This window comes from Homo sapiens, chromosome 3 (genome assembly GCF_000001405.40).
Source record: "Homo sapiens chromosome 3, GRCh38.p14 Primary Assembly".
Classification (NCBI taxonomy): Eukaryota; Metazoa; Chordata; class Mammalia; order Primates; family Hominidae; genus Homo; species Homo sapiens.
In genome coordinates, this window is record NC_000003.12 from 129,702,900 (window position 1) to 129,726,514 (window position 23,615).

The 23,615-nt window shown below is 40.0% G+C and overlaps 1 protein-coding gene across 14 annotated transcripts in view; it reads right to left on the reverse strand.

Annotated features, from left to right (window-relative positions):
* Positions 1-23,615, reverse strand: part of TMCC1 (transmembrane and coiled-coil domain family 1) — a 245,920-nt gene that overhangs the window by 55,108 nt on the left and 167,197 nt on the right. The window contains exon 1 of one of the 14 annotated variants that reach the window (NM_001349274.2): positions 21,065-21,214. The exons of the other annotated variants lie outside the window; for them this stretch is intronic. Coding sequence (NP_001336203.1) covers positions 21,065-21,091 — 27 coding nt within the window. The 5' untranslated portion in view covers positions 21,092-21,214. Of the gene's footprint in view, positions 1-21,064; positions 21,215-23,615 lie in introns of those variants that run through there. 14 annotated transcript variants of the gene reach the window in all.

The following is a 23,615-nucleotide window of genomic DNA, read 5'->3' on the forward strand; positions in this document are numbered from 1 at the left end:
CAGCTACTTGGAAGGCTGAGGCAGGAGAATCGCTTGAACCCGGGAGGTTGAGGTTGCAGTGGGCCGAGATTGCATCGCTGCACTCCAGCCTGAGCAACAGAGCGAGACTTTGTCTCAAAAAAACAAAATAAAAGAAAAACCACAAGGATTTATCTCAATTTGTTCTTTTCACAGTATTACTAGCCATAGATGGCTTGGGAGCGGGGATAAACCCACATACAAAAACCCACATACAAAGGCTTCATTCTTTGTTACTTAATTTTCCACTAAATTGCATAGAGCTTGTGGTTCCAAAAATTGTTTAAGAATAGCCATCTGACTCGAAGAGATGTAACCAAGAAAGAATAGGAAGGTGAAAACAGATATGATAGATATTAACTGGCTACTTACGGAAATCCAACTCTTTCCAAGCTTCTTAAAATGTGTTAACAAAAAGCATCCAAATGGCCAATTTCTCATTGCTATACCTTTTCTCTTAAAATACAACTACAACTACAGTATTCTGCTGTTTGACATCATTAAGCTCAGACAACAGGCCTTATAAGTAAGTACAGTAAGATGGGGTTGGGAGAGTGCTAGTCTGCACAGGAGACAGACTTGAGTCATTGCTCTGCCAGTCATCAGCTGTGGGACTTGTATGATTTATGGGGCTTAAAATGAATCAAGATTTAGTACCTAATAAATAGGAATTGAGTTTGCAAGGTTGAGGCTGGAGATGAAAAACTAGAGAAAGCGTAACTACGATAGCTGAAGAGACAAGAAGAATTGCCAAAGGATAGTGAAATAATAATAATATTCGGCTATTAACACCAGTATAGAGCATATACTTAAAAATACTGTTGAATGAGTGAATGAATAAATGAGGAGGAGAATTTGGGGAATTAGCTGAAGTTTAGGGTAAAGAAAATGATAAAGACATTTTACTCTGCTGTAGATTAGATGATCTCATAGTTGCTATTAACTTGCCTTTCATTTCTTCCTGAGACATTATGTTTTAAGGCATTTTGCCTTCTTTGGTAGTTTTAACCTGAGAGGTCAAAGGCTTAAAGAAGAGACGTGAGACCAGAGGGGAGATTACTAAAACATGATAGGGAGAAGTAGAGTAGTGGCAGAAGAAATGTAAAAGAAAAGGCTTAGCAGTACTTCTGAAGGAGAAACCAGTAAGATTTGTTGATTGTACACTGGAGATGGAGAAGAATGAATGAAAGATAAGGCCTATGTTTCCATCCTAAGAGAATGATGATGCAATTCAAACAGGGAAGATGAAAAACAGCTTTGTTTTGGGAAAGAAAATTATGATTTCGAATTTAGATATTTTGAACTGCAGTAAGGGGAAAACAGTCACTTAGGAATGATTGGAAAGAAGCTGGAATTTTGATCCAAAGAAAAGGATCTTCCAGAGACAGTTCTATAACCTGGTATCAACACTTAACATAAGATGACAAATATGAAGCCATATACAGTATTCATATGCTCTTTGGCCCAGTGCTTGTGTCTACATCAGATGGGAAGAGCATTTTTTATTTGTTTATTTTTTGAGACAGAGTCTCACTCTATTGCCCAGGCTGGAGTGCAGTGGTGTAATCTCAGCTCACTGCAACCTCCGCCTCCCAGGTTCAAGTGATTCTCCTGCCTCAGCCTCCTGAGTAGCTGGGATTACAGGCACATGCCACGACGCCCGGCTAATTTTTGTATTTTTAGTAGAGATGGGGTTTCACCATGTTGGCCAGGCTGGTCTTGAACTCCTGACCTCAGGTGATCCTCCCACCTCGGCCTCCCAAAGTGCTGGATTACAGGTGTGAGCCACTACACTCGGCCCGGGCAGAACATTTTTAAGGGAACAATTCTGCTGAGGCCAAAACAGCTTTTAAGGACTCCAACCTCATATCAGGCTTATATTAATCACAACAGCTGAATAAGAATCTGTACTGACCTGAAAATTAGCACAAGCAGATGTTCACTGTCACAAGTTGGAGCCAGAAGACAACTTATTCCCAGACCTTGATTGAGCTGATTCAATGTATACACAATAGGCATATACCAGGGACAGTAATTATTCTAATCACAAAGGGGAAAAGGAAGAAGACATAATACCTTCTACTGGGGTCAACAGACAATTCTAATAGAGAAAGTACAGAAAATTAATGTCCCTTTAGATCCTAATTTAGATGTCAATGTCTACTTAAAAAAATTCCAAGCTATAAAAGAATGGGATCAAACGAGTGCTGTGCAAATGGCATCAGGGTACTAGAGGCATTATTCCTACCCTTGATATCTATACAGCTGGGGTTCTCACTCTCTAGTGAGGAACGAAAAGGAGGAGAGGAAAGAGCAGAGAGAGGTGGAATATGCCTGGAGACTCTGGTCTTAACCAGTTACTCTTGACATTTTGGCCACTATGGCATCCATGGGTTCCAGCATCCTCCTCTCAAGTCTTTGTGACAAATAATGTTCTCTTATATTTCCAAAACCAGTAGGGGTCTGGGGGTGAGGCAGGGGAGTAGTGTGGGGAGGAAGAGGAGTTGATAATTTCCTGGAGATCTGAAGTGCTGCTGACTGCATTTTATGATTCAAGAGTTTTCACAAAACATGACTCATTCTTTGAATACCTGTAAGCCTTCAAATCTTGATTTTATTTATCAGAATTTGACAACAGATGTCATGCTCATTGGCCTGACTTCTTTATACTTAACCTATTTGAAACACTTTTTTTTTTTTTTTTTTGAGATGGAGTCTTGCTCCGTCACCCAGGCTGTGCAGTGGCGCCATCTCGGCTCACTGCAAGCTCCGCCTCCTGGGTTCACGCCATTCTCCTCTTGAGTAGCTGGGACTACAGGCGCCCGCCACCACGCCCACCTAATTTTTTGTATTTTTAGTAGAGACGGGGTTTCACCATTTTAGCCAGGATGGTCTCGATCTCCTGACCTCATGATCTGCCTGCCTCAGCCTCCCAAAGTGCTGGGATTACAGGTGTGAGCCACCGCGCCCGGCCTTTTTTTCTTTTTTTTTGAGACAAAGTCTCACTCTGTCACCCAGGCTGGAGTGCAGTGGCACCATCTCAGCTCACTGCCACCTTTGCCTCCCAGGTTCAAGCGATTCTCCTGCCTCAGCCTCCCAAGTAGCTGGGATTACAAGCGTGCGCCACCATGCCTGGCTAATTTTTGCATTTTTAGTAGAGACGGGGTTTCACCATGTTGGCCAGGCTGGTCTTGAACTCTTGACCTCAAGTGATCCACCCACCTCGGCCTCCCAAAGTATTGGGATACAGGCGTGAGCCACCGCGCCTGGCCAAAACACTTTTTTATTTTTTATTTTTATTTTTTGAGATGGAGTCTTGCTCTGTCACCCAAATTGGAGTGCAGTGCGCGATCTCGGCTTACTGCAACCTCCGCCTCCTGGGTTCTCAAGTGATTCGCCTGCCTCAGCCTCCTGAGTAGCTGGGACTACAAACGTGCACCACCATGCCCTGCTAATTTTTGTATTTTTAGTAGAGACAGGGTTTCACCATGTTGGCCAGGCTGGTCTGGAACTCTTGACCTCAGGTGATGCTCCCACCTCAGCCTCCCAAAGTGCTGGGATTACAGGTGTGAGCCACTGCACTTGGCTTGAAACATTTTATTAAAAAATAAAAAATATAACAATAAAGTGACTCACTCCAAAAAGGAAGAGAAGAAACCCTGTACTGAGCTTTCTGTACTCCATCTGAGTACAGACTTCCTACTAGCATTCAAGTGGATACATTAACACAGGAAACTCCTAAACTTTTAGAAGTGAAATTAGGACCAAGAGCCACAGTTCAACCACCTATTTAATGGTCAACAATGATTGAAATTGTTCATAAAATAAGGCTTCCTAAAGTCTATACAAGACAAAGTCATTTCCTTGTTTTTATTTCATTTATTTCATTATTTTTTTAGAGACGAGGTCTTGCACTGTTGCACAGGCTGGAGTGCAATGGCTATTCACAGGTGTGATCATAGCTCACTGCAGCCTCAAACTCCTGGGCTCAAGCAATCCTCCTGCCTCAGCCTCTTGAGTGGCTGGGATTACTGGCACAAGACACCACACCTAGCAAGACAAAGTCATTTTTAACTGGAGGGGAAAAAAAAAAGGCAGTGTTTGAGGGGGATAGATATGAATGACTGGGCAGCGTAGAAATAGGGCAAAACCAGATTTAGAAGTTGGTGATGAGAAAATACCCCTCATATACTGTTGCCATCTGTTTACATCTCAGCTCCCCTACTAGACAGTGAACTCCTTCAGGGAGCTCATGGCCCTATATTCACTTCTAGTTCTCCAGTAATAGGTGGACAGTATGGGCTCAATAAATATCTGTTGGATGAGTAAGAAATAAAAGCATAAATCATATCACCTCAAATACATGCTTATATTAAAAAGTGGAGATATATTTAAAAAATTCAAAATCCCAAATGAGAATTGAAAGGGACCTTAAAAGATGGTCTACCCATGGTTAAATTTATTAGAAATGTCAAAGGGGAAAAATCATTCAAAATTAAAATTAGGAGACAAATTTATCACATACGACTAAGAAGCAATAAATGTGGAAGACCTCTGTTTTCAAGCCATTATTTAGAAAATCAACATGGAATAGTCTTTAGTTTGCTACTGACTTTGGCAGTCACTTGGGAAATAAACATTGTCCATCTTTCCATTAATATATTCCAACAAAATTACTTTTACTTTCTTATAATTTGATTAAAATTTTATTGCAAACATTTTAAAGTTAAAATTGGTCAGACGTGGTGGCTCACGCCTGTAATCCCAGCACTTTGGGAGGCCGAGGCGGGCGGATCGTGAGGTCAGGAGATCGAGACCATCCTGGCTAACACGGTGAAACCCCGTCTCTACTAAAAATACAAAAATTAGCTGGGCGTGGTGGCATGTGCCTGTAATCCCAGCTACTCGGGAGGCTGAGGCAGGAGAACTGCTTGAACCCAGGAGACGGAGGTTGCAGCGAGCCGAGATCACACCACTGCACTCCAGCCTGGCGACAGAGCAAGACTCAGTCTCAAAAAAAAAAAAGTTAAAATTGAGACGACTGCTAAAGCTTTACAGGATATTATAGAATTTGTAAAGCACTAAGGTAGAGGATGAGAAAAAAAAAGTCCTAATTAAAATTACTAGTAATTTAGTGCTTTGTCTTGCACGTTGAGAGGAAAATTTTAGTAAGACAAAACTATTCATGATTAATTGATAACAAATGTTCTTTAGTATCTTTTTATAAACAAAACAAACATTGGGATATTATCAGGAATTTCATTCATTCTTTCCAACTATTAGGAGCTTTGTTTCCTCTTGGGGTGTTTTATGTTGTAATTATATTAACATTTCTGATATAATATTCTAATATAGGGTAATATTAATGCTTCCTTCCTTGAATTTTAATTTCAAAGAATGCCTAAGACATCCTAATTCTTAAAATGTACTGCAATGTAACAAGAGCTTTGTCTGATTTAGATTAAAATCTAAGATTTTTTTGTATCTAACTCAGATTTGCTAGTGAACCTAGTTGCATGTAGTTTGCATCCTGTTTGCTTTTTCTTTAACTGAAAACTGTTAAAAATAATTGCCCTTTCCATAAATCACATAAATGTGGTACAGCTGAATCACATAATGTGATGACCTCTGCTTTTCATTTATCTAGATTCCAACTCTGTTGCTCAAAATTTTAATTATTCTTTTCAGCTGTTTGACATCTTCAACTGACTAAGCATGTCAATATTTTTAGCCCAGGAATTAATGAAGAGGTTGAACTGGACAGGGAGTATCCTGAAGCAAGCCATTAGAGACCTTGTTCCAGGCTGACATTTATCTAAATTAGTAATCTTCACTCATTCATTCACTTATTCAGTTACAAATAATCACTTATTACTTTCCCCCAAAGATATCACAAAAGTCTCTGTTAAATGACTGCTGAAATCCGGCATACCCTATGTCTTCAGAGCATCTCTAACCTACTACTACAGTAATCCTATCAAAAAAGGAAATGGGTTTAATCTCGGATAATTTAAATTTAGAAAATCTGTTTAATATCCTAGTAATTAGGGCTTCTTTTATAATAAAGTACTTATTTATGTACTCTTAACCACTGGTCTTTACTGGTAATAACTAAATGCTAAGGAGGCTGAAATTTGTCTATTTTTCAAATAATTAAGAGTACTCAGAAAATACCTTTGCATATCTAATTTTAAGATTAAATAACTAAACTTGAGCATTACAGTTTTACCATAAGACTCGTGATGTTTTAATAAACTTTAGATTGTCCGGTGTAGTGGCTCATGCCTGCAATCCTAGCACTTTGGAAGGCTGAGGTGGGCAGAATGCTTGAGCCCAGGAGTTTGAGACTAGCCTGGGCAACATGGTGAGACCCCATCTCTACAAAAACTTAAAGAAAAAAAATAGCTGGGCATGGCATGGTGGGCTTGTATGCCTACAGTCCCACCTACTTGGGAGGCTGAGGTGGGAGGATCACCTGAGCCCAGGAGGCCCAGGCTGTGGTGAGCTGAGATTGTGCCACTGTACTCCAGCCTGAGCGACAGAGCGAGACTTGCCTCAAAAAAAAAAAAAAAAAAAAAAAAGAGAGAGAGAGAGAAACTTTAAATCATCAAGGCTAACACCATTTACTTTTCTCTGGTTAGTCCATGATCCTGAGGTCCAAGTTTTTTGTTGCTACACAATAAAAATTTATTTTACACCATAAATCTATACTAGGTAGGTAAAATAAAAATAACTAGAAATGAAGAACATTCTGTTTAGATACCATCTGAAGTGTCAACGAATACATACTGACTTCTGCTTGTATTTTTGGGCTTCAGGCTCTTTATCCTCAGAAGACTGACACTCTCAAGTGGGAGGACAAAGCAGCATAAGAACAATAATGCACACTGATAATGGCAGAGAGTCAGAATTGAGGACGATGTCTATCTAGCAATAGGCTTTCATGGTGACCAAAATTCCCAGTGGATATTAAAAAACTGTGTCAGTAGCCAGGCGCGGTGGCTCACACCTGTAATCCCAGCACTTTGGGGGGCTGAGGCAGGCAGATCACAAGGTCAGGAAATGGAGACCATCCTGGCTAACATGGTGAAACTCCGTCTCTACTAAAAATACAAAAAATTAGCTGGGCATGGTGGCATGTGCCTGTAGTCCCAGCTACTCGGGAGGCTGAGGCAGGAGAATCTCTTGAACCCGGGAGGTGGAGGTTGTGGTGGGCTGAGATCGCGCCACTGCTTTCCAGCCTGGGCGACAGAGCGAGATTCCATCTCAAAACAAACAAACAAACAAACAAACAAACAAAAACTGTGTAAGTACTAAAAAGATCTGCTTCCAGGTTAAAGGTCTCTGCTTTTGAACTATCTTGTGAGGTTTGTAAGGCAGCAATTATTCCATTTTATTTTTCCAAATTTTTAAGTTTTTTGAGATGGGGGAATAGGGACGGTCTCATTATGTTGGCCAGGCTAGTCTTGAACTCCTGGGCTCAAGTGATTCTGCCTCGGACTCCCAAGTACCTGGGACTACAGGTGCAAGCAAGTGTGCCCAGCTATCATTCCATTTTAAATACGAGGAAAGTGAGGCTCATGAGAAGTTGGAATTCTTTAAAGACTGAGGACTAGTGAGAAGTTAAGCTAAATCTGGAGCTCAGATATTCTAAATCCAAGTTCACGGTTTTTATGACTATACTATGTCTTCTCCCATGGCCAATCCTAAGTGGTCAGTCAACAGTAACAACTCTCAGCCTATTTATGCTAAACGCAAAAAACAACTCTACTTAAAAGTAACAGGCTTTACAGAGGCAGCAATTATATACAGGTCAGCAACTACAGAAAGAAGATATTGAATCTAATGGGAAACTCTCTCTGTAAAAGACACTAAGTCCAGGATATTTGTGGCCCAAGTCTTTCTCCCACCAAAATTTCAAGAAATCTATATTCTCAGCCATGTTCCATTTTATTTTATTTTCTTGAGATGGAGTCTCGCTCTGTTGCCCAGGCTGGAGTGCAGTGGCACAATCTCAGCTCACTGCAACCTCCGCCTCCCAGTTCAAGCGATTCTCCTGCCTCAGCCTCCAGAGTAGCTGGGATTACAGGCGCCTGCCACCATGCCCGGCTAATTTTTGTATTTTTAGTAGAGACAACGTTTTACCATGTTGGCCAGGCTGGTCTTGAACTCCTCACCTCAGGTGATCCGCCCGCCTCAGCCTCCCAAAGTACTAGGATTACAGGTGTGAGCCACTGCACCAAGCCATGTTCAATTTTATATCCATGCTTAGTTTCATGAATGCAGACTGATGCACTCCAGAATCACTTGCCGCTTAATAAGCATTCAGTCTATGTCCAAAGTTTATTTAATTCTCATGTCTGTAAGAAAATAATCAGTTTTGACAGATACAGTCTATGTGAACATCATCATTTAAAAGTATACATATACATCATATGGTAACACCAATTTCACTATAAATTTTTATTAATTTCATATTACAACTTACTAATTAGTACAACCAGAGATTAATATCATGTAATAAGATATGCTACTCCCACTTAAGGAAGATTTTGTTTCTGTAAAATAATATGCAAATTAATAACTTACATATGAAATAATACTTATTACATTGGACTTGAAAATAGTCATTTAAAGAAATCCTAGGCCACGTGCAGTGGCTCACGCCTGTAATCCCAACACTTTGGAAGGCCGAGGTGGGTGGATTACTTCAGGTCAGGAGTTTGAGACCAGCCTGGCCAACATGATGAAACCCTAACTCTACTAATAAGATAATAATAATAAAAAATTAGGCCAGGTGCGGTGGCTCACACCTGTAATCCCAGCACTTTGGGAGGGTGAGGCGGGCGGATCACGAGGTCAGGAGTTCGAGACCAGCCTGACCAACATGGTGAAACCCCGTCTCTACTAAAAAAAAAAAAAAAAAATACAAAAATCAGCTGGGCATGGTGGCACACATCTATAATCCCAGCTACTAAGGAGGCTGAGGCAGGAGAATCGCTTGAATCCAGGAGGCAGAGGTTGTAGTGAGCCGAGATGGTGCCACTGCATTCCAGCCTGGGCGACAGAGTGAGACTCTGTCTCAAAAAAAAAAAAAAAAAAAAAAAAAATTAGCCAGGGATGGTGGCAGACACCTGTAATCCCAGCTACTCAGGAGGCTGAGGCAGGAGAATCACTTGAACCCGGGAGGTGAAGGATGCAGTGAGTCAAGATCACACCACTGCACTCCAGGCTGTGCAACAGAGCGAGACTCTTTCTCAAAATAAACAAATAAATAAAGAAATCCTAGATCGAATGCATTTGAAAACAAATAATCACTCTACCCAAAGTTATAAGGCTTTTGTTTAAATTTAGATTTTGCAATACATGAGCTGTTCCAGTTTATGCAAAATCCCTCATTTACTGTCTGTAGTTTGTAATTTATGAATTATAATCAGATAAGAAATTGCTTTTAAAATCAAATATAACTGACTACAAATGAGTAATGCATGAGGAGTTAAAGACGCAAGTCTCTTTCTGAAAGAAAACATTATTTTATTATTATTTTTGAGACAGGGTCTTGGTTTGTTGCCCAGGCTGAAGTGCAGTGGCACAATCACCACTCATTGCAGCTTCGACCCTCTGGGCTCAAGCAATCCTCCCACCTCAGCCTCCCGAGGAGCTGGAACTACAGGCACATACTACCATGCCCAGCTAATTAAAAAAATTTTTTTTTTGTAGAGACAGAGACTCACTCTGTGGCCCAGGCTGGTCTTGAACCCCTGGGCTCAAGTGATCCTCCCACCTTAGCCTCTCAAAATGCTGGGGTTACAGGTGTGAGCCACCACGCCTGGCCATTTTATTTTTAAAACCAATCTTTATATGTCTGTATGGGTATCATCTGAGTATTGTGAAATCTAAAAATCTTGAGAGGTTATCTCAAGCAAAACATTCTTGTTTTATAGATGAGAAATAAAACCTCTGGTAGGTTAACTGAACATATCTAATTGTGTAGGACTGAAACTAGAGCCTCTCGAGGTTCAACTCTCTCCAATATGAATCTTCATTTAAGAGACAACTGAAGGCTGGGCGTGGTGGCTCACACCAGTAATCCCAGCACTTTGGGGTGCCAAGGCGGGAGGATTGCTTGAGCCCAGGAGTTCGAGAGCAGACTGGGCAACATAGTGAGACCCTGACTCTACAAAAAATAAAAAAAATTGCTAGTTGTAGCGGTGCACACCTGCAGTCCCAGCTCCTCAGGAGGCCAAGGTGGGAGGATGGCTTGAACTCAGGAGAAGGAGGCTGTAGTGAGCAGTGATCATGCCACTGCACTTTAGCCTGGGCTTTTTTCCTCCATCCAACTCTAAAACTCGTAGGTAATCTGGCATATAATTAATTTAGTGGATAACAGTATTGAGTCAAATGATGCCAGCAATTTGCCACCTCTTGCACTAGAGAAAACAGAAGATTAACAGGCAAAAACTGGAACTGTTTCATTAAATAACCTATGACATTTGGTAAAATATGTATGATAAAACATATAAATGATAAATGTAAATGCAATGATATAAAATGGAAAGGCAGCATTCGTTTAGGAAATATGTAATAAAAGTTGTCTTCCTCTGCTGCTCTCTCAAATTCTGTGACCTGGTTCTATTCTTCAAAGATGAAAATGGAAGCACAATAGCACAATCCTGTAATCCCAGATACTTGGAAGGCTGGAGGAGAACAGCTTGAGCCCAGGAGTTCAAGGCTGTAATGAACTATGATTGTGCCTTTAAATAGCCACTGACAACACAGTGAGACCCCCATCTCAAAAAAAAAAAAAAGAAAAAAAAAAGGAAAAGAAAATGGAGTTTCTAGAAATTAAAAGAATTATCTCAAGATGCAGTTACAATAAGCTTCTTCTAGACCACCTACTTCCCCCATTTCATTCTCACATACTAATTCTTAACAGTCCTTACTTCTTAAAGATTTGTTTTTAATTAACAGATTCCTACTGTTGCCCATTATGTTCCTAATAGCTCTTGTGTGAGAATCATCTCAGAATACTCGATCTTTCATTCTGAACACCTCATCTCTAGTGACAACTATTAACAGAATAAATGAAAAGCCCCTGTTTCTAGGGAAAAAAAAACTTACTGTAAACCCAACTGATAATTGTAAAATAGGACAATATGGGATACAGTTCTTCAATAAGGAAGAAAGCGACATCACCTTTGGGGAGGGGGTGAGGGAACGTCAAAGATATTTGTCATTAAACTTCAACTGGGCATGAAAACAAATTCTTTCCATTTTAAAATTACAAACATATTTGTATGTATCTTGGTGAACTTCTTTGGGTAGACTGATAGTGTAAATTCCTAGCAGTTTATCAGTGTATATATTTTGCACTTTGATAGAGATTACACATTGCTTTCCTGAAAGACTGCAGCAATTTACACTACTGCCAACAGTGTAGGTGAATGACTGTGCCAGCTCCAGGTATCAAACTTTTGTATTTTGATTAATCTGATAATTAAAATGAGATCATATTTTCACTTATCATTTGTATTTTTTTGATTATGGGTAAACTTGACCACCTGGAAACTCGAACTTTTAACTGGACAATAAGGAATGCCAATATAAAGGTAGGCCCATTTGGTATATAATATGACAACCATACATACATATGTAACAACCCACACATATTCCCTTTTCTGTTAGAACTTTTGGAGCCCAGAAAAGATCTTTTCCTTGAAGTTGCAATCAGGGTATAATTAAAAAGATACCTAGATTTTTCAAACAGATAATGTGCATGAGGCACCAATGGGGATAAAAAAGCCAACTTTAATTAGGCTTCTACACTCCTTAGAAATGATTCCCTATAAACTTTTCTTCACAAGTTTCCACTGAACATAAAATACATTCTTCCACCCATCTATCAATCTAAACAGTCTGTATTCTCCACATATCCTTAGACTTCAAACAACCAGTTCACATTTCATTAAGAGGAAATGAGAATTAAAGGGCACACTGTAATCCTATTTCCTGGGCTTACAGAGCTCAAAATTTTCCATTTTACTTATCTGAAAAATAATACTGGATGGCTCAGCAAACTGATTTTAAATCAGAGATAGGGTCCTAAGTATATCTGCCCAGTAGAGGACTCCCTGTATTTTAGGTATTGAAGATGCACACATACAGTTAACACATACACACCCACCCTCCCACTCTTCCTTTTTTTTCTCACTCTTACACAGGAGCTAGGACTACAAACATGAAGATGACAATTACAGTAACAGAGAAAGTATCTCTGAAGTTCTTTGTCTTTTCTGAAGACAAATGTTTTCCTTTCTATATCCAACCCTGTCCCCATCCTACCTTAAAATGCACTCTCTGGCCAGGCGCGGTGGCTCACGCCTGTAATCCCAGCACTTTGGGAGGCCGAGGCAGGGGAATCATGAGGTCAGGTGTTCACGACCAGCCTGGTCAACATGGCAAAACCCTGTCTCTACTAAAAATACAAAAAACACTGGCTGGGTGTGGTGTTGTGCACCTGCAGTCCCAGCTACTTGGGAGGCTGAGGCAGGAGAATCGCTTGAACCTGGGAGGCAGAAGTTGTGCCATTGCACTCTAGCCTGGGCAACAGAGACTCCATCTCAAACAAACAAACAAACAAACACTCTCTATCTGCTCTGTGCTTGAAGTGAAACGTACATAAATTTAAGTCCAAGTAAGCCTACCTTTATATTGACATTCCTTATTTTCCTGTTAAAAGTAATCTCCTTCTAGTTCTCTGTACTTCTAAACTTTCTAATTTTTATGGTATATATATATTTTTTACTTGACATTGTGAGTGCTTAAGTCTGAGACTGTGTCTTATATCTTATACATTCTTGAACTCCTTACAGCACCCACCATATTACTTTATATTGAGTGGCCAGTCACTGTTTCATTCTTATTATATTAAATGAGTTTATATTTATAAAGTGTTTCTGTAACTGAGTACCTCCATCTAAGAGACAGAATGAGTTATTTTTAAATTATTTTTTCTCTCTTCTCATTCCTCCTTTTCCCCTATACCCCACTTCCTACTTAGCTCTTTAGAAATGCAATTATAACCTGCTACCTCCCCTTCACCAGACATGTGCTTAGAAGCTCCAGAGTGGAACTCTCCCACCAGGAGACTGCCTCGAGAGACAACAGTCTATTTACAACAAAAAGGACACTGGCAATGAAACTCTCTCTGACCTGGAGAGTTTCAGCCACTTTTTTTCTTTTTTCTTTGTTTTTTTTTTTTTGAGATGGAGTTTAGCTTTTGTTGCCCAGGTTGGAGTGCAATGGCACAATCTCGGCTAACTGTAACCTCTGCCTCCCGGGTTCAAGCGAGTCTCCTGCCTCAGCCTCCTGAGTAGCTGGGATTATAAGCATGAACCACTACACCTGGCAAATTTTTTTTTTTTTTTTTTTTTTTGAGTTGGAGTCTCGCTCTGTCACTCAGGCTGGAGTGCAGTGGCGCGATCTCAGCTCACTGCAAGCTCTGTCTCCCAGGTTCACGCCATTCTCCTGCCTCAGCCTCCCGAGTAGCTGGGACTACAGGTGCCTGCCACCACACCCAGCTAATTTTTTTTTTTTTTTTTTTGTACTTTTAGTAGAGACAGGGTTTCTCCATGTTGGTCAGGCTGGTCTCAAACTCCCTACCTCAGGTGATCTGCCCGCCTCGGCCTCCCAAAGTGCTGGGATTACAGGCATGAGCCACTGTGCCTGGCCTCAGCCACTTTTACAACCTAGTTCTGCCCATGAAGGTGCCAGTGATTGCCACCTCAACTGCCCGGCAGATAAAGCACCCTCACCTGTTTGCTTTCTCCACTGCGTGCCATTCATGCCAAGCTCCCTTTTAAAAGCAGCTGCTTTCTGCTCCAAAGCTGAAGTGGTACCCTTAAGGCAGGAGGCCTGTATTTCTTCCCCAAAGCTAGCTTTGGAATAAAAAGTCACTCTCTTTATACCAGACCTCACTATTGTTATCGGACTCTACAAGTGGTGAGTGGCTGAGTCTGTGTTTCAGTGACATTTCGAATAGTGCTGGCACATAACAAATGCTATTTATTAAATAAGAAACTGACAAATTTTTTCTAATGAATTTTCCCCTTCAGCATGTAAATCTTATTTCTCCTGTCTTAAATAAACTTCTTGACTCCATTCCCTTCACCAGTTACTTCCCCAGTTACTTCTTCCTACTGCAGTGTAACTCATAAAGATTATTCAAACTCACTGTCTACAAATTATTTTCTTCCCATTCACAAACCCACTCAACTGGCTTTTATCTCATCGGTCTACTAAAAAGTTTCTGTTGAGGTGACCAATCATCTCCAAATTACTAAATCCAAAGAGAAGTTCTTAGTCCTCTTCTTATTGACCTATCTGCAGCATTTGACATACTTGATGTTTCCTTTCTCCTATGAAGAATTTCCATACTTGGTTTTCCAGTACACCATCCTCTCTAGATTTTCCTCTTCTCTCATAGGTCAATCTTCTTCCTTTTCTTCTTCTCCCTAATTACATTTTCTGCCTAGAACTTTCTCCTTAGTATCCTATGACTCTAAGAGTCTCTAGACTCAAAAATGTCACTTACCTATTCAACATTCCCACTTAGATGGCTGATGGACACCTGAAACTGAACTCCAGCACTTTCCCACAAAACCTGCCCTCCAGCAGCATTTACATCTCAGTTAATGACAAATCTATTCTTCCAGCTGTTTAGGTTAAAATCCTCATAGTTACTGATTTCTTTCATACCTTACATCCAACCTGCCAGAAAATTCTGTTAGCATCGCCTTCAAAATACATCTAAAATCCAACTACATCTTATAATCTTCACTTGTACTTTAGTCTGAACCATGATCATATATTGTCTGAGTTACTAAAATGATTTCCCAACTGGTCTATCTTGCCCACATATCTGTTCTTAATACTACAACCAGAATGATCCTTTAAAAACCTAAGTCAAATCACATCAGTCCTCTGCTTAAAATTCTTCAATGAATTCCTGTGATACTATGAAATACATAGTTGACCCTTGAACAACAAAGGTCTGAACTACATGGATCCACTTATATGCATATTTTTTCCAATATATTGGAAAATATTTTGGAGATTTGAAACAATTTGGGAAAAAATGGCAAATTGCATAACCTAGGAATACCAAAAAATTAAGATTCGTGAATGAATGCATAAAACATATGCAGACACTAAGTTTATTTTATCATTTAACACCATAAAGTATGTACAAATCTGAAGTTAATTCTATCAAAATTTATACAAACACTTACATGGTGCCATTTGCAGTCAAGAGAAATGTAAACAAAGATGCAGTATTAAATCGTAACTGCATAAACTGCATAAAATTAACTGTAGTATATACTGTGCTACTGTACAATTTTCACAGCCACCTCCAGTTGCTAGCAGTGAGTGAAGTATTGCAAGTATCCACTTAAAGTGCATGTGACACTAATCACCTGAGTGACCAGTTCCTCTCTCCAGTAAACTGCATATCTCAGTAAAAAGCGATCTCTTGAGACTTCTCTATTATTTTTCACTGTGTTTAGTACAATACTGTAAACCTCGAATAATACCATGAGATGCGTAAGAAGTGAGACTAGTGACACTGAAGTGCTCCCAAGAAGCAGAGAAAATGTCATGACATTACAAGAAAAAGTTGATTGCTTGATATGTACCATAGGTTAAGGTCTGCTGCTGCGGTTGCCTGCCATTTCATACAGATGATTTGTCTTGTAAACATATGTAAATACAGTACTGTAAATGTATTTTCTCTTCCTTATGATTTTAGTAACATTTTAAAATTAAAATAACATTTTCCTTATGATTTTCTTAACATTTTATTTTCTCTAGCTTACTGTATTGTAAGAATAGAGTATATAATACATATAATATATAAAATATGTGTTAACAGTTTATGTTATTGATAAGGCTCTGGTCAGCAATAGACTGTTAGTTAAGCTTTGGGGGAGTCAGAAGTTATACACGGATCTTTGATTGTGTGTGAGGGTCCAGCACCCCTAATCCCCACTTTGATCAAGAGTTAACTGTATTTGGTCGTCTTCTCCTTTTCCTGGCATACAACTACTAAAATCCTTGGAATCTCCAAAGTGATGTGTCTTTTTGTATGCTAATAAGACGGCTGATGGTTGGCAGCTTCAGGGTGAGGCTGGTCATCAGAAAGACCAAGGCATAATTAGAGAATTGGCATTTCAGCCCCACCCCCCAACCTCTGGGAGGGTAAAGGAAGGAGAGTGAAGGTTAAATGATCACCAATGGCAAGCAATTTAATCAATCACACCCACATAATGAAGTTTCCATAAAAACCCAAAAGGACAGGGTTAGGGAGCTTCTGGATAGCTGAACATGTGGAGTTTCCTGGAGGGTGGGGGCTTAATGGAAGCACTGCATCCCTTCCCATATGCCTTGCCTATGCATCTTTTCATCTGCATCCTTTATAATAGGCCAGTATACACGTTTTCTTGAATTCTGTAAGCCACTCTAGCAAATTAACTGAATCCAAGGAGGGGGCTGTGGAAACCCCAATTTACAGCCAGTTGGTCAGAAGCACAAGCAAAATAACCTGGGGCTTTCAATGGGCATTGGAAATGGGATGCAGTCTTGTGGGACCCAGTCCTCAACTAGTGTAATCTAATACTATCTCCAGGTAGACAGAGTCAGAATTGAATTGAATTAAAGGATACCCAGCTGGTGTCTGCTGCAGAATTGCTTGCTGGTGGGAAGAAATCTCCACAGACCTGGCATCAGAATTGTGTTGTTGAGAGGATAGTGGGAGAAACTGAGTATGTTTTATCCACTCAATTTCCTTTACACTCAAATGGCCTTCAAAGGCACATCTGATTTGGCCTTCTTTATGGTAGATTAATAGCCACATTCATCCAATCTCGTATACCCTTCCCTTTATAATTTGGATTTCCCACTCCTGTCAAGAGGTGGCTTCTGGCCAGGCACGGTGTCTCATGCCTGTAATCTCAACATTTTGGGAGGCCAAAAGGCAGGAGGATCACTTGAGCCCAGGAGTTTGAGACCAAGCCTCAGCAACATGGTGAGACCCTACCTCTACAAAAAAGAAATAAATTAGCAAAGCGTGGTGGCACATTTTTGTGGTCCCAGCTACTCAGGAGGCTGAGCCAGGAGGATGGCTTGAGCCCAGGAGATCCAGGCTGCAGTGACCTGTGTTTGTGCCAGTGCACTCTAGCCTGGGCAACAGAGTAAGACCCTGTCTCAAAAAAAAAAAAAAAAAAAAAGAGATGGAATGTATTTCTCCATCCAGTGAAACTGGGTTTGGTCATGGTCTTGCTTTGGCCAAGTGAAGTGTCAGCAAATGTGACATGAACAGTGAAATGTTAGCAAATGTGACACAAGCAGAGGCTTAAAAAGTATTTGTGCATTGGAGTCTGTCCTTTCTTGTTGCACTGAGATCTCCAGCACACTTTACATCTCAGTTATTGACAACCTCATCCTTATAATAGCTATTCAGGCTAAAATCCTTGTAGGTTGTCTACGTGGATGAGTGTTAAAAAGAAAAAATAAAATAAAACCTTGAGAGGTCCAGCCAACAGCCAGTACCTACTACCAGACACATGAGGAAGGGAGGCCATCTTAGACCATCTAGGTCCACCTGAGCCCCCCAACAACTATAATGACACGAGGCAAGACCAGCCTAAGAACCACCTAGTGGAGCCCAGCCCAAATGGCTGACTCAAAATTGTGAGCAAATAAAACAGTTATATTAAGCTAATATTTTTATTATTTTTTTAAGACAGTCTCACTCTGTCACCCAGGCTGCAGTGCAGTAGCCTGATCATAGCTCACTGCAGTCCCAAACTCCTGGGCTCAAGCGATTCTCTCACCTCAACCTCCTGAGTAGCTGGGACTACAGGCACACACCACCATGCCTGGCTAATTTTTATTTTTTTTAAAGACAAGCTCTCACTATGTTGCTCACGCTGGTCTTGAACTCCTGACCTCAAGTGATCCTCTTGCCTCAGCCTCCTGAGTACCTGGGATTACAGGTGCAAGCCACTGTGCCTGGCTAAGCCACTAAGTTTTAAGGTGGGGTGTTACACAGCAATAGATAACTGATACACTGTATTAAATCTCTCACACTCCCAATTCCTGCCACTCTTCCCTCTCTTAATTATTGCTCTAATCATACCAACTAACCTCTTTTTAATTCCTTGTAAACACTGTGAAAACTCCTGCAGTTATTCTGGCTGTACCCCTGCCTGGAATGCTCATTCCTCAGCTGAACGGCTAACCTGCTCTCCTCTTTCAAGCCTTCCTTCAAATGTCTTGTTTTAAATGAAGCTTATGCTTACTGTTCTATTAAAAATGGCAGTCTACCCTCAATGTCCAGCACTTCCAATTCCTCTTACCCTGCTTTATTGTATTTATTTATTTTGAGAAAGGATCTTGCTCTGTCACCCAGGCTGGAGCGCAGTGGTAATTTAGCTCACTGCAACCTCCACTGCCCTACCCTGCCCCGGGATTCAAGTGATCCTCCCATTTCAGCCTTCCAAGTAGCTGGGACCACAGAGTCAGCTACATTTTTTCTTCTCAAATCCTGCCTTCAAAATGTTCATTCTGTAATTTGGAATGAACTCTTCACAAAGCATGTGCAGGCCGGGTGTAGTGGCTCATGTCTATAATCCCAGCACTTTGGGAGGCCGAGGCAGGCAGATCACGAGGTCAGGAGATTGGGACTATCCTGGCTAACACCGTGAAACCCCAACTCTACTAAAAATACAAAAAAAAAAAAAAAAAAAAAATTAGCTGGGCGTGGTGGCAGGCACCTGTAGTCCCAGCTACTCGTGAGGCTGAGGCAGGAGAATCGCGTGAACCCAGGAGGCAGAGCTTGCAGTGAGCCGAGATGGCGCCACTGCACTCCAGCCTGGGCGACAGAGCGAGACTCCGTCTCAAAAACAAACAAACAAAAAACACAAAGCGTGTGCAATCTCATGCAAGGAGGTCATATATGAAACCCTATCTATAGCAGTTTTATGTATCTAGATTGTTATATTAAAAGTTTTAGATACTAGGGGCAAGTACCTCATTTGTGAACATTTTAATCATTGTTTCAATGAGAATATTTTAGTTTACCAATCAATAAATAGTTCAGGTAAGAGAGAGACAAAGGTAGGGAAGCAAGGAAATAGTTTAATCCAGGGATCCCCAACCCCTGGGCCGCAGACCAGTACAGGTCAGTGGCCTGTTAGGAACCAGGCCACACAGTAGGAGGTGAGCAGCAAGCGAGTATTACCACCTGAGCTCCACCTCCTGTCAGATCAGTGGTGGCATCAGCTTCTCATAGGAGCACAAACCCTATTATGAACTGCGCTTGCGAGGGATCTAGGTTGCATGCTCCTTATGATAATCTAACTAATGCCTGATGACCTGAGGTGAACAGTTTCATCCCCAAACCATCCCACTCCAACCTTGCCCACAGACACCCCGACCCCATCTGTGGAAAAATTGTCTTCCACAAAACCGGTCCCTGGTGCCAAAAAGGTTGGGGACTGCTGGTTTAATCTACACTCACTCACTCAGGTACTAACTATATTGTTTTGATCATACTGTCTCTACTCTTATAAGTTAATGCAATCAGCAAATAAAATCAATTAAAAATATTTAAATTATGTTTTATGCCCTCCCCCACCTGACTATCAATAATGGAAAAAAAGGAGTTAACTTCTCTTTTACTGTTAGTCTCCACCCACTATTCCTTTAGGGCTCTCCTATGAATCCTTTCCTTCTGATCACCCCACTCACCCTGGGCTAGCATTCTTAATAAAATAGATAAGTAAACTGACCTTTTATAACCTCAGAACAAACAGAGATGTGTCAGGGGTTTTGAATCCAAGATATATAGCAAACAACAGAAAAAGAGGGTACAGACCAGAGGCACAAATCTGCTTAAAAAGTTGGCATTTAAATTATCAACCATAAGGCATAAGAGGGTAATTCAATATCAAACTTCACAGTGAAAAATCTGTTTGGATCTTAAATCCAACTGCTCAATAGCAAACAATATGAATGTACATTAACTTCAGAATCAGGCAAAACTATAAAGAATCTCCTTTGCTTTAGTATTTATCTCTTAGAAAATATGTATCATTTATAAGATCAACTAAAAAATGGCAAGGTCAACTAAAAAAAATGGTAAAATCAAACTATAGGCTAAGTTTGTACTCAGGACTATGGATGAAATGTGAAAATGGTGGTTGTGTTGAATAAAGCTGGATCATCCTCCAATCCAGTTTTATCTCAGAGATTTGTTCTGCTGATCTGGAGATACAAGTTTCACACTGAGATATGTGTATATTGCTTTACAATTCAGAAAATTTCCAAGTCCTTGGGAAAAATACTTTGAAAATAAGTAGCTGAGCACTAAGAAATCTTTTTCTTTTTTTTTTTTTTTTTTTGGCCACCTAGATCCATCAAGAATTTTTTTTTTTTAATTTAATAAGTATTCCAGGTGGCTCTAAATCAAATTCCTATTTGTTATGCATGCCTGGCATCTTCGAATTTAACCCATGTTTTTCCCAAGCAGTCCAAGGCAAATGAAACTCTTGTTCATTGAAAGAAACACTGATTTTCCAGTAACTATTTCGCTTGAGAAAGTGAGGATGACACTTACTCTGCAATGAAGCAGCCCATTACACACAAGAGACGGGACACTCCAGGATGATCTGAGCATGTCCATACAGCTACAGAGCACCCTCTACATTCTGTCCAAATAGCTTTGGGTAAAATGAACAACTAGGAAACACATATTATGCTTCTCCATTATTACAACCTTACACAAGTCAGTCCTAAAATAGCAAATGCCCCTGGCTGAGATCTACTGCTGAAAAACGCTAAGTTTCAGCAGCTCAGGCTATTTCCTTTGTCTGTCTATTCAACCAGCCCCCACTTAAAGCTGCAGGACTAACTAACTATAGGATTCAGGATGAGATTTTTTTTTTTTTTTTTTTAAAAGACAGATACACACACATATACAACATACGGTTTCCGAGGAGAGTGAGGGCTCCATGCTTGTGAGAGAGGAGGAGGAGGAATATGCCGAATAACCCTCAGGTTTCTCCCAGATTTGAACATGTTGTACTGTGGCATGAGGTCAGCAGAGACTTACTCCAGCCCTGTGAGGCTGAATTCTACCCTGACAAAGCAGTATCACTGTAATATGAAGCAAGAGGATTCAGGGCATGTTGGCAGCTGTACAGAATGCCTGTTCTAGAAAGTAATGGCAATTCCAAAACAAGAGATCTATGGTGTCACATGAGATAATCTTCAGCCCAGTTAAGCAATAAGCACCCAAAATACTTTGAATCCCAAACACAGGCAGCTCAAAAGTTTAATGGTAGAAAAGAACTTTTCTCCTTGACCCTATTTTGTGTCTGGAGGAAATAATCAGGAAGAAGAAAACTGGAAGAATCATTAGTTAATTTGATCTGTATCATAAACAACATACTGATTCTGATCTGATCTGTTCCTGGGCACTACGACCTAGCTGAAGAACCCCAAACCACCTCTGTGACTTTACTATGGAACAGGGAGAATATTCTGGAAATACATTTTTGGTAATGGATATATGCCAGAACTGAAGGTGTGAATAACCTCATTTTTCATATGTGCCCAAAAGGCAAACCTAATATACATCATCATTTCTTTTTAGTTCAAGAATGTGTGCCTTTAGAAATTCTTCCTCCAAAGAAGAGGGGCACTAAAAAAGGAGCCAGAACATGAATTTTCTACCAAGAGAAAACAGGGCAATGCAGACATTCCTTTACATTTTATGGTGTCCCTTATACTATGAAAGTTCTATTCTAGACCAAAAGTGACCCAATAGTTTTATAACAAGTAAAATTTAGCCAGGAAACACAAGACAATGGAGATAAAAGAAAACTGTACTACAGCACTAATGGGAAGGTAAATCTATAAGAAGTTCTTCAATAGTTCAGTGGGATAAGGAGGGATAAGGAATAAAGAAATAAAAACTTTTCAAGATACACTAGCTTTGTTTTTATACATATAGCTTACTAATATTGGATTTTAAAAGGAGATACATATAACTTATTTACAGATTTCCAAATTTCTGATAAAGTTTTTGAGGATCTACATTTGTACCCAAAAACCTAAAGATAATCATACAATTTCATTTTCTTTTTCTTTTTGAGACAGGGTCTTGCTCTGCCATCCAGGCTGAAGTGCAATGGTGTGATTTCAGCTCACCGCAACCTCCGCCTCCTGGGCTCAGGTGATTCTCCTGCCTCAGCCTCCCAGGTAGCTGGAATTACAAGTATGTGCCACCACACCCACTAATTTTGTATTTTTAGTAGAGATGGGGTTTCACCATGTTGGCCAGGCTGGTCTCAAACTCCTGACAAGTGATCCTCCTGCCTTGGCCTCCTAGAGTGTTGGGATTACAGATGTGAGCCACTGTGCGCGGCCTAATCGTACAATTTCTAATATAATTTTTTCATTCTTTAAGAATTTTACTTCAATAAAAACGAAACATAGCATCTTATTTTTTTAAGTAAATAGAAAAAAGAAATAGAAAAAAGTCATTATAGAAATAGAAAAAAGAAAATAGAAAAAAATCATTACTGGATTGTTTCAAAGCAGGTAATTTTGAAAGACTGGATAGGCAAGTTTCCTGTATTAATAAACTTTTCTTTAGGTCATTTTATAAGAACCTCTGAAAGAGTAATCTACTTTGAACATTGATTTTTTTTTTTGTTATACTTACACTATCAAAGGAAATTTTGATTCCCTAGTTTTAAGATGCACAAGAAACAGTGCCCAGAATGGTGGTTATTACCAATTGAAAAGAAACAACCGTACTAAATTTTTTAGTTCTGAGCTTCTTTCTTAGCAATATCTTAACACAAGGCCAAGAGAAAAGTCTGGGAAAGCAGTAAACAGTCCTTTGGAGTATGGGTTTTAGTCTACTGCCAAAGGTAGGAGATACAACTAATGTTTTGATTTCTACATTTGTACCCAAAAACCTAAAGATAATCATTCTATGAACCAGGATAGGAATAGAAGGGAACATCTGATAAATTATGTAAATCTGTATAGGTACAGACAGGTACCTGTATCTACCTGTATGTACAGGTACAGACTTTGGGCCAAAAGGGAATAGGCATTAATATGGAACAAAAAGAGTCAGTCATACCTTATCTGTAGAGGAGAAGTAGGACTAACAACAGAGTGAAACTTTTGCAGCTCTAAATTACTATCCTCAATGTCGGAGACAAAATTTTCTAACTAGAAGGGCTTCGTATTTATTCAATAATTCTTACTATGTGCCAGGCACACTATATGGGACATTTAGGGATACAAAAATGAATAAGATGAACAGGTTCTTGCCCTCTACTGACTTTTGAGATCATCTGTGTTCTCTAGGCTACTATTTCTCAACATTAAAACAAAACAAACAAATAAAAACTTTACATCCTCTACAATACGGTCTCGCTCTACAGTCTAGCTATGCATTCCTGCCACTCTGGATTATTTTATTGTGCTTTACTATCTGTAGTTTATAGTTTTAAAAC